At 34.4% G+C, this 12,948-nt stretch overlaps 1 long non-coding RNA gene across 1 annotated transcript in view; it reads right to left on the bottom strand.

Moving 5' to 3' along the window:
* Positions 1-5,061: 5,061 nt before the first annotated feature.
* PYDC2-AS1 (PYDC2 antisense RNA 1) overlaps positions 5,062-12,948 on the bottom strand; it is a 164,833-nt gene continuing 156,946 nt past the window's right edge. Inside the window, exon 7 of the long non-coding RNA NR_120606.1 lies at positions 5,062-5,515. This is a non-coding gene — a long non-coding RNA (PYDC2 antisense RNA 1). The remainder of the gene's footprint in view (positions 5,516-12,948) is intronic.

Here is a 12,948-nt window from a genome sequence, read left to right as displayed (position 1 = left end):
AGGACAATTTCCATGTATACATGCAGCAAAGATAACAGTATTGAGAAAGAAACAATAATTCTTCTTGGAGAGAAAATACATACGATATATAATAATGATGCTAAGCTTTGGAAATAAGTTGTATGTTTTTCACTGAAAGAGCGGAATGGGTCTTTTTAAGCAGAAATCTTTTAACATCTAGTCCTTCAAAAGGTTTCTGAGAGAGCTTTCTTTTCTCAGTAAACAGCAGGGGGAAAAGACAAGGGAAATTCAACGAGGTACAGAAGAGGTTCTATGCTTTTCTCAGAATACGTAATTAATGCTTTTGCTTCCTCAGTTTCTTTCCCATAGTCAATCTATATTCTTCCAAAAATAGAGTAAGTCCCAAAGACTGTCCTTCTCACTGTTTAATAGCTGTCAGGAAGAAATTTAAATACCAGGAGGATGAGAACCCCTCTTTTAGACCTCTGTCTCCAATATCGTTCTTCAAAATGAACTAATTTTCTGACAAATATTGTGCAAGAAAAATGTCATTAGCTGGCTTTAACCAACCTCTGTGCTGACCTTGGGGTCAAAAAAAAATCATGTTTTTATCGTTTTTGTGCTTATGCGAGACTGTGACCAGTTACTTCACCTCTGAACTTTTGATTCTGACAATGCCATCAGACTAGGATATCATGTCATTGAATTACATGCTTACAATGGCAGAAGAAACATTATAAATGGCAATCTATTTACTATATACCACACTGCCTTTAATAAAAGTAACATATATTCTGCCTACTCTTTGGATAGTCTCATGCCTCTTATTGGTGAGTAAGCCTATATAATTGTTGCCTGTATCACAATAATTTCTGTGAACCTTAAAACACTGCTAACATTTTCTTGTATTAAACATTAGGAACAGGTCCAGAGGGAACTGTGCCTCATTATTTTTCTTTGAACATTTCTTTCTTTCTTAAACTGCCTCATTAAATTAGTCATTTTCTTCCCTGGATGTAAAAGTAGCTGACACAAAAGGGCCACATTTATGGTATAGTGATGAGTTTTACAGAATCAATTTTTAATTTTAAAATGACTAAATTGGAAGGGAGATGAAGCATGCAATTAAAACAAATTAAAATTGATAATGATTATCTGTAGAAAAAATTGTGTCCTGGTTTTTTCCAGTATTCCATACCCCTTACAAAACTAATTCCATTCCCTTCAAATTTACTTGTTATAGGTAGATTTTTTTTGTTGTTTTTAATACTCTCCTGTAACAGAAAAGTTGAATTCCTTGGCAAAAATCGATTGTGTGATATGAATTTTGAGCCATAGGTTATGGTTTATTTTTAATTGCAAATTTCCAGAATTTTGTTAAATTTTTTTACAAGTAATTTCTAAGTGATAGTCACAAACACATGTGAACACACATATCCACACACAAGAATCCACAAACAACAAATGCATCTTGTAAGGTGTGGTGAAAATTTGTGATTGTTACTTTTTAATGTTTTCAACTCTATTCAGGTTGTAATTCAAATTTGCTCATACCAAAATCCTGAGCTAGTTTTAGTACTCTTTTTTCTCAGTTCTTATATTTAATCTAACATAATTGTTGACATTATCCTTAAAATCTATCCAATCTGACTATTGTTCATTATCCCAATTTCTGTCACTCTAGTCTAAGCCACTAGTATTATCTACTTTGATCCCTGTCATGCCTATCATTCCTGTCTCTGCTTTTATTATGCTAAATTGCATACCACACGCAAGAGCTAAAATGATCCATTTAAAACATAAATCATGTCATGTTGCTTTCCTACATAGACTTCAATGACATTTCACTGAACTTAGAATAAGGTGCAAACAATTATCATGGTCTATGAGGGACTATATAGTCAGACAACTACTCAAAACATTGCCTTTCTCTCCTTCCACTCTTCTCTCATTCATTTGACTTCATTAGTACTGGACATGTTGGTATTCCTTGGAAATAACAGTTCTGTCCTGGCTCGGGCCCTTTTGTGCTTGGTGTTTCCTCATCCTGGAGTATCCTTTGCCCACACCTTGGTCTGAATTGCTGCCTTTCTTCATTAAGGGTTCTGCCCAAATATCTCAACAGAGAGAGTGTCCCTTAATGATCCTATTTAAAGTGGCATGAGACAAGTAGAAAGTAGTCTATTTTGTTTAAAATGCTACAAAATGTTGAAACTTGGTATTTTGGGGAAAAATCGCTGAAGATTTTTGCATGGTACTTTTTCTCATCAGCTAGAAAAGTGGGAGAAAATAATGTATCTTCACAGAGTGCGGCAAAAATCTGAGGAAATATCTGCAGGATAATGGCTCCGTAACTACATAACACAGTAAAGATATACAATTCTGTTTTATTGGTGATGGTAAATAATTGGGGGCAATATTTTTCGGACAGTGCTGATATGGCAAAACCATATATGCAGCACCTATATTTGTATGATGCTTTGGATTGTAGGGTTTCACAAATATTTGCATAGTTTTCTTCAAAATCATCCTGTGACAGTAAAAAAATAGTACTACCTGTATTATCATCATTTGTATATGAGAAACTGAGGCCCAAAATAGTGAAATGGCTTGTATTCACAGCCTACAAGTGTTAGATTTTGTACCTTATGCCAACTTTTATAACTACAAATTTAGTATTTTTTCATAACACTATATAACAGAAGATCTAAATGCCAGAGAAAAATATATAAACCCAAATAGTCCATCTAATTAGATCCATGTTGATGAATTATCTATTAATTATCTATTAATTTTGATTAATTATCTATTACTGTGTTGATACAAATACTGAACCATTTCTGCTTATGCAAGAAAAGATACTTTTTCTATTGCTACAGTTATAAAAGCAAAAAAGAAATTACAAAATGGTTGGAGAGAGTTAACAGTAGTCTTTGAGTTCCTGAGTTTGTCACCACAAATGGAAAGCTTTCATAGACCTTAAAATTAACTTCCTCCATTGCCAAATGACCAGCTGCACAAGACAGTCTACAGATCTTCATTAATTGGATTAAACAAGCTTGCTATGTTTTTCTTTCTAGCAACATGAGCTATATGAAAATCTCTAAAGATAATGCCCTTCTTGACAAGATTTATTCCTGACGAGCTGTCAAAGCAGCATAAAGCCAAGGCTCCAGTGAATGAATATAAAGGAAGATTGCCACCCTATGTACAATATCCAAGAAGGAGATTTCTCCAGGTCATAGATCCTGGAACTGTATGTTTAAGAGTTTTTTAATCTATTAGAATTCTAGGTATGAGAGGCATTGTGTGGCTACTCAAACCTTATTTTACAATTACAGAGGGAGCACCACCCTTTAATTATGATGGCTCTAGACTATCACTTTCATGACCACTGCTTCAAACTTTAACGTGTTATCATCAGAGAAATCGGCACAGAACACAAAGTTTTCAGTTTAAAAATGTATGTCATTGTTTATTGTTTAAAATTTATTAATTGCTACTATTTTCAATGCTCTGTGTTAAATTCCACGGAAGACACAGAGATAATTATTGATTTTCTGCCCTATCATGATTATTGTCTAGAGGATGGATGAGCTGTTTATGCAGAGACCAGGGGATGAAGAAGAAAGTAATAATTTCTATAAAAGAATACTAAGTTTTGGAGTTTGGGAAAATGCTTATTCTTATCATGGAGTCTGGGTTTCAGAGCTGGGTAGTTAAATTATTTATTCTATTCTTCTCATTTTAGATACGAGGAAATCTAAGCCCTGCTTGGAAAAATAATTTTTTTAGTTCATATTGCTACTCAGTAACAGATTCAGGAGCAAAATAAGCTATCTGAGTTCCCAGTCTTCTGATATTTATAGGAATGGATGCACACTATAGTTAATAATAATAGTTAGCCTTGGAGCTCAGAATTGAACACCTGGATGTATTTTATACCAGGCAGCCAACGGGTTGCCACATTCACCATTTCGAATCCTGGCCAGCTTCTCACACCATATCCAACTATGACTTTTCCAGTGGGAGCTCTTCAGGGAAATGGGCCAGGGTTTTAAGAAAAGAAACAAACAAACAAACAAAAAAACAAAAAACAATTCTAGCCTTCAACAATCTGTACAACATCTAACTTTTAAATTGCTCAAAATTCTGACTCATCACAACTCTATCTACAGCCTTTAACACCAGTGCCTTCAATTACTGTCATTGACACAATATCCCGACTAGTCTTCATCCAGAACCCAGGTTCATACTGCCTTATTGGACAGTGACACCTTAATATCTAAATGACATATCTAAATGGAAATAAAACTATAATAAAATGGGAAATCTCTAAAGCTGAGGTCATTACCTCTGTTGTTTTGGTATATTTCTCGTGTTCTATGCTCTCTCTCTCCATGCGATTAAACCTGCAATATTTTAAAATAATTTGTCAATTGTGTTTCCCCATTCATAAGTCCTTTTCTATCCTTGTCTCCTGCTCTGTAAAAGCTTCCCTGGCTTTTCTTTTCTCTGTGCTCTACCACTTACTAGAGTTGACAAATTTCTTAAAATCCCTGGGTGTTAGCGTTTGCAATTGTAAAAGAAGGATGGTCATTTCAGTTACCTTAAAAAAGATTATTATGCTGGGATCATGGGGGTTATTGGATGACTTTCTGCTTATTTATTTTTTGTTATTTTCTACATTTTCTATAAAGAGAATTATTTACTTTAATAATAGCCAAATAAATGCACAAAATTCAAGCAAAAAAAATCATAAGAATTTTTTGTGCCACTTTTGTGTTTTTATTTGAAAATGATATTTTCCTGTTTTAAATTCAAACAGTAACAACTAGTTATACAATGAAAAGTCCCTCCATCTGTGGCAAAAACTGATAATTATTGAGCAAAATTTATTGCCTCTTACCCCTGGCCCGCAACCAAATTGCCACATTGTCAGACTCACTGGCACTTAGGTGTGACCACGTGATAGTTTCCTAGCCAACAAGTAAAAGTAGTAATGTGTAACCTCCAAACCTCCAAGCCTTCCCATAAAAATCTCCATCTGCAATCCTCCATGCTGTTTCTCCTTCTTCCAAATGAATTTTACTATCTATGAGAACTTTAGAAGCCAGTGGGAAAAAATATTACAAAGTTGGTCATCCTGGGTTGCTGAACAACTGTATGATATAAGACACCCTCACCCTCATCATTACAATTAATGCAGAATCTCAGTGAAGTGATATGTGAGCAAAAAAAAAAAAGACTTCTATTGCATTTGAGCCATTATGTAATTTGGACTGTATATGTTACAGCAGTAAGCCAATTTTAAATATATCTGACTTCCCAAATTAACCACTTATAACAATCAGAATAGACTAGGTTTATTTGGTGATAAACAAAACCCAAAATTCACAAAAGTTTAAAACAGTAAAAGTTTATTTCTTGTTTCTGCAAACTTCTTGATAGCCCTGGTGACTCTCAGGCAGTTGTCCTTGTATATGAGTCAGCCATCCAAGCTGCTTTTATCTCGTGGCTCTACATTTTCAACACAAGACCTTGTGCATTAACACTGCAAGGAAAGAGAGAGATGGCAGAATTTAAAAAGGGCTCTTCATTTTTGTCAGCTCAAAAGTCAGTCCCACTCATTTTATTTGCCAGATCTAGTTTCCTGGCTTCAGTTAACTGCAAGAAGTATGGAAACTATAATCTTCTGTATGTCCAAGGAGAGAAGAACTAGCTATTAGTGAACTCAGTCAAGTCCACTACACAACTGTTATCTATTTCTAGAGAAATGAGGGTCTACTATACAGACAGTGTTTGAACTTTTGCTTTTTCATTTAGCGTATTTTGCAGATTAATATACAAATTATTCCTTTCTAATGTCAGAATTTATTCAACATGTCCCTCATTGTCAGAAATTTGACTTATTTCCAGACATTTTCTATTGCAAACAGTATTGCTGTGAACATTATTTGAGTACATACTAGAATATATATGAGATAAATTCCTAAAAATAAAATTTCTAGGTCATATTTGCATTTCTAATTTTGATATATATTTTTATGATACATCTTATATATAATTTTATCCAACGAGTTTGCATGAATTTACATCGTTGCCAATGACTTAGGAAGTTGTTTCCTTTCAAGTTTGCAATGACAATATATTATCAAAATCATGTGAGGGTATTAGGTGTAATCTGCATAGTAGCCTATTACATACAGTCATGCATTATTTAACAATAGGGGTGTCTTCTGCAAAATGTGCCATTAGGTGATTTCCTCATTATGTGAGCATCACAGAGGGTACTCACACAAACGTAGATAGTATAGTCTACTACGCAACTAGGCTAGATGGCATGGCCTAGAGGCTACAAAACTGTATAGCACATTACTGTGCTGAATACTATAGGCAGCTGTTGCACAATGTAAGCATCTGTGTATCTAATCATAGAGAATGAACAGTAAAAATAGTGTTATAATCTTATTGGCCTGTATATGTCACCTGTCTTGACTGAAACATCATTATGTGGTACATGACTATATTTATATTTAACTGAGTAAACCTTACTGAACATTGATTTTGTTTCTAATATTCAAATTACATAAAATATTACACACAAGTATGTACCCACATTTTAATTATTTTATTAGATTTTCCTTTTAGAAGTGGAATTACTGTATCTACAAGTGTGAACTATTTTAATTTTCTTGACATTTTATCAAATTGCTTTACAAAAAGGTTTTACCAATTTACACTTCCTCCAGTGTTAAGTGAAGGCCCATCTCACTTCACCTCCACCAATGTTAGGTTTTATCATTTTTTAATCTTTGTAAACTTGTAAGCTGCATAAGGGAAATACTGGAAATTGGCAATGCCACCTCTGTAACAACTAACTTATGGGACATTAGCAAGGCAAATTCCATTATCATGAATATTCTAAGGGGTACTTTTTTTAGTGTTGCATCTTTTTACAATTTAGCATCTTTTGGGAGGTAGAGTCACTATTCCCCAGTGGCATGTGGTTCTTGTGAACATTTCAATCATGTTACCTTGCTACAGGAATTCCCTATTCCCCTGTTGCCAACAAATACCCTAAGATGTGCCAATTCAAGACCTTCCTTAATATTAATCTATAGAACCTGGAATAAATAAGCTGTTACCCCTTTAAGGGAAGGGGCAGTGTTGCTAAACTGAGAGGAAATAATACTGGAATGGCCAGGGGCCGTATCTTATTTAAAATATGAAGAATGAAACTAAGCACAGATAAGAAAAGAGAGATAATATTTTAGCAATTCTGAGTGCATAATTCCTGCCCTAGGTGCTTCGTTTTTCTGTATCTCTTGCTTTCAACTTTAAGCTACTATTTTCTTGCCAGCCAGTGAGCTTCTTTTGTATAAACTAATTTGAGCTGAGTTCTTGCCTTTTGCAACTGAAATAATTCCTACTAATACACACACTAAAGCAGTACCTTTACATACTTCTCTACTTTGCATTCTGATAACCAGAATCTTAGTCATCATAGACAATGTAAATCTTATGAAATTTCATAAAGAAAGCAGTATTAGATCCACAAGTGCCTCCCAAATATTCAAAGAAAGATATTTTTCAGGACTTGATATAATTTTAATATTACTGTATTGACTTGATTACAATGTATTATTATAAACTGGAGATCCTTTTCTTGATATATAATAGATGAGTCCAAATCCTATTAGCTTCCAACCCTGCTGAGTACCTGTTACAGAATTTTACTCTTTGGTGTCCCTTGAAATAGGAGTCAAAAGGCTATGTTGTGGAGTAAGCACTGGACTAAGAGGCAGGTGCTTGCATCTGGACATCTAGCGAGTCTTTAAAGCTGAGCTAATCTAGAGTAGCTAGTTTAACAACATTGAATAGATTGTTTTAGTTCCTAGTTTTACAACATTGAATAGATTGTTTTAGTTCAGTTTCCTCACTTATAATAACCTCATTTGAATGACTGCTAGAATCCCTCCTTGTTCTAACATTCTAATGAATATCAATTTAATAGTAAATTTAACTGAAAGTAGCAAGTCTGATCTTAATCCAGTCCAGTTTATGTTGAATAAATAAAACATTGCTTTCATTTATTCTCCTGTTTACATGAAAATGAACTAGACACTTTAGAAATCTTCTGCTTTTATTTCTTTTATATAGTCACAATGACTTAGGTGTTTCTGAATAGCCTAGATCAATTAAAGCATTATATATCATTTGACATTTCAAAATCATTAGTAAAAATGTTACATTTCTGGCTGATTGATTATTCTGTGATTATACCAGGTCTATAAAAAATGTTTCTAGTTGTATTAATAAATAATTATATTTGTAGGTTTATTATAAGAACTGTAGTTCTGAAACTCATGATTTTTCTGAATGGCAGTTAAATAGATATGGACATCTTTTTAGAAAATAATTAAATCAAAGTTTCCTTTGGGCATGCAGTTGCTTGGCCTTTATATGGATTTTTAAGTTAGCATGCTAAAACTGTGCGGTTCTCTTTCTTTTCTTTATTTTTTATCAAGTCAAGAACCCATGAAATGAAATGATGTTACAGTACAAACTACATTTAGCAAATAGAATGGAGAGTAACAGCTCCAATTTTCTACTGTTTTTTTTCTGCCACATTAACATAATTCCATTAAGAATATCTACAGAGAATTTCTGGTGTGCAAGACCATACATCAGATATTGCAGAAGATAAAAGAAATGAAACAGAAGTAACTCTATTCTAAGGTGAATGCCTTCTCCAGCAAAATGAATAAAATGCACACATACAAAAAATTTATCATCATTACATATTTATTGAGCATCTTTTGTCTCCAGGAAACTTACATTTTAATGAGAGACATACATAAAATAACTTTAAATAGTGCTATGAAGAAAGTAAAACATGACAATAAAATAGACAGTAACTGGGAAGTTACTTTACGTTAGATGATCAGAGAGCTTTTTGCAGCGGTAGAATATAAACTAAGACCTGGATAACAAGAAAAAGCCAATCAGAAAGATCTGAAGAAAGTATTTCAGGATAAGTGAATAGTTCAAGGCCTTAAGGCATTAATGTAACATATATAATATATTACTAATAAAGGAGGGTTATGCTGAGGCGCCCTAGGACAAGCGGCCATGAGAATTCACAGGCGTAAGAACATATGTAAAAGTAGATACAGAAGGTTTGTGAGAAACAAATTAAATGAGCCTCAAATTTGAGCAGGTTTCATTAAATGGACATGTCAAGGTCAAGGAAGAGAACCCAAGATACAAGAAAAAACATAAACTAGGAATTTCTAACACACAGTTATAGTCTTAGATTATGTAGTGAGGTTTAACATTTACCAAAACGAAAGAGTAGCATCAGGAGGCCTTTAGTGGACTTTTCCAAAAACATCACGAAAAAACAGATACTGGCTTCTTTTAGAATCTCAGAGCAAGTACTTCCCCATAATATCCAAGATATTAATACTTTAGGAAATAAATCTGATTTTAATTATTAAAACTTGAAATTACATATTTTATTCTCTTGTCCTGTGTGATTTTTTAAATATTCACTTACAAAAATCCTTCTCTCAGAATTTTCTAGGGAATAGTTGTGATTATTTGAGAATTATTCATGAAAGGATTTGTATAATTCAGAGCTAAAAGAAACTTTAAAGCTCACCTAACCCAAACTCTAAATTTACAGATGGAGAGATCCAGAGAAGTAAATCTTGACCATTAATAATTGAAGAGATATCAAGACTTGAACCTAATTCTGCATTGATTCCTAATCCAATACTTTTTTATTGTTTCCTTATTTTTAATTATGGGCATAATTACTTGCATAAACATATAACAGTAAAATTATATATATGGTGTAAAACATAATATGTGTCTGTGTACAATGTGTGTGTGCAGGATAATTAAATCAAGCTATTTAACATATATATTACCTCACATATTTAACATTGTTTATGGTGTGAAGGTTGTTGGTCAAAGGACACAAAATTAGTCAAAGGGTACAAAGTTTCAGTGATGCAAGACAAATAAGTCCTGGAGATTTACTGTACAATATAGTGCCTGTAGTTTATTTTACATTGTATACTTACCAATTTGCTAAAGGGTGTATCTTCTGTTATCCCTTCTGTGACAGAAATGTAACAATAAATAAAGAGGGCAGGAGGAAACATTGGGAGGTAATGGGTATGTTTATGGCATATATTGTGATGATTTCCTGGGTGTACACTTATCTCCAAAATCTTCAAGTCATATAGATTAAATGGGTATAACGTTTTTGTACAGTCAATCATATCTCAATAAAGTAATTTTTAAAATAGCTGAGAAAACTCAGGGAACTAAAACACAGTAAGATATGAAGTATACCAGATATAATTTGTTTAAATGAAAATTTTAAATATCACATATTTGGATGCCTTTAATATTTTACAACTACAGATGATCCAAGTTATTTTTCTTTAAATAATGTCCCAATCCTTCACTTGCATTCAGGTATGATTTCTAAAGAGGTCAAAAGAAAGGGTGGAATTTGTAAGATTTCTTGACAGAAGATATCAATCTATCTGAAATATCATACTCTCCTATCAATCACTCAGCATTTTTGAAAGTTAGCCTTCTTTTTATCTAAAACCACAATGTAAAAATTTGTTGATGCAACTTCTGAATATTTCATACCAAATCCCTAAGTATTGTTTAGGAATTAGAGAAGAAACTTTAAGACCCTTGTATTTATCTTTACTAGATTAAGGATGATTACAGGCCAGGTGCGGTGGCTCATACCTGTAATCCCAGCACTTTGGGAGGCTGAGGCAGGGGGATCACCTGAGGTCAGGAGTTTGAGACCAGCCTGCCCAACATGGCAAAACCCTGTCTCTACTAAAAATACAAAAAATTAGCCAGGTATGGTGGCACATGTCTGTAATCCCAGCTACTCAGGAGGCTGAGGCAGGAGAATCACTTGAACTCGGAAGGTGAAGGTTTCAGTCAGCCGAGATCACGCCATTGCACTCCAGCCTGGGCAACAAGAGTGAAACTCCATCTCACCAGCATGGCACATGTATACATATGTAACTAACCTGCACATTGTGCACATGTACCCTAAAACTTAAAGTATAATAATAATAAAATAAAGAAAAAGAAAAGAAAACACAATGGTTTTAATTAACTTTTAAATATAATAATATTTACATGAAAGAACAGCAGATGTATTCTCAAAAAAGCTTAACTGTTTTTTAAAAAATTCTCTCTTTAATGCTATTTGCATATGAAACTTGTACTCAGCTGCCTAATTTTTATCTTATTAAATGCAAAATAGATCTATAACATCCTACTAGACTAAAACTCAAATGGACACACCACATATACATACTTTTTAAAAACTCAATGTAAGTTGCCTTACAATTTGCAGTTTGTGTGTGAATCATCTCATTCATCACTTAACAATCAGTTACTTTTGGATAGAATGCCTAAGCCCAACAGTGACAATGACATCAGAATTCAATTTAATGAGAATGGTGGCTATTTCTGAGTGAAACGGAGAAAAGTGAGAACAAGAACAACATGACCAGTTCCTAAGAATGCATATAACTTCCAATTATGCAGGCTAATGGATTTTTAAAGATTGTCCTAGATCTTTCCTTTAATCCCATTGATTTGATTTTCCATATCTCTCTCCGTTCTCTGTCAGACTCATTTTTGTTGTGAGCACTGTCATACAGCACTCAAAGCCAAAAATGTTTTCTAGCGAGTTGGGCTAGGCTTGGGTTGGCACTGCTTGCTCAAATATAAAAAACAAATGAAAAGATGAGAGGTATATTAGTGAAGTGCAATAGCACCAAATGGGAAAAGGATACTCTTGTTGAATATGAAGGAGACACTTAAATTATCTAACATTCAATTGGCACAACTGTAAAATTAGAATATTAGATTTAACCTTTATCCTCTAATATTGTTTTGATCTTTTTTTTTTTTTTTTTTTTTTTTTGAGATGGAGTCTCGTTCTGTCGCCCAGGCTGGAGTGCAGTGGCGCGATCTCGGCTCACTGCAAGCTCCGCCTCCCGGGTTCACGCCATTCTCCTGCCTCAGCCTCCCAAGTAGCTGGGACTACAGGCACCCACCACCACGCCCGGCTAATTTTTTGTATTTTTAGTAGAGACGGGGTTTCACCCTGGTCTCGATCTCCTGACCTCGTGATCTGCCCCCCTCGGCCTCCCAAAGTGCTGGGATTACAAGCGTGAGCCACCGCGCCCGGCCTATTGTTTTGATCTTATTACTACTGTATAAACTTTTAGAATTAGATGATCTCTAAGTTAACTTTAGAGATCACCCAGAGTAGTCCATACATTATTTGAGTTGGATAAAAACCTTTGTGCATTTATTTCTATGCAGTGGCTCCTTAGAAGTTTCTGCCAAATCACGGGTGGATCACGAGGTCAGGAAATCGAGACCATCCTGGCTAACATGGTGAAACCTTGTCTCTACTAAAAAATACAAAAAATTAGCCGGGCGTGGTGGCGGGCGCCTGTAGCCCCAGCTACTTGGGAGGCTGAGGCAGGAGAATGGCGTGAACCCAGGAGGAAGAGGTTGCAGTGAGCCGAGATCGCACCACTGCACTCCAGCCTGGGCAACAGAGCGAGACTGTCTCAAAAAAAAAATAAAAAATAAAAGATCCAGATAGCTCAGGTGAGGTCTTGCGGGGAAAAGTCTCCTACAACTATTCTATTCAGGCCACAGATTTTCTCTTAACTTTGTTCTTAATCTTTTAGATAGATATAGGGCCTTGACATTCTGTAAGTTTCCCGGCTCTTGTTATTGGGAGAAAGATGTCCTTATAAATCTCTCCCAGATAAATGCGGAAGGTTAAGCTGTCAGAACTAGAAATTGTGTACTGCAAGTGATTTCTTGTATGACATTAGGTAAACTTCTTCACTTTTCTTGTTCTCATCTATTTTTTTTTTGGTTTTTTTATGTAGTGAATGGCAATTA

The sequence above is a fragment of the Homo sapiens genome, chromosome 3 (genome assembly GCF_000001405.40).
Source record: "Homo sapiens chromosome 3, GRCh38.p14 Primary Assembly".
Taxonomy (NCBI): domain Eukaryota; kingdom Metazoa; phylum Chordata; class Mammalia; order Primates; family Hominidae; genus Homo; species Homo sapiens.
Note: the sequence above shows the minus strand (reverse complement) of the source record. Positions and strands in the feature narration are given on the sequence as shown.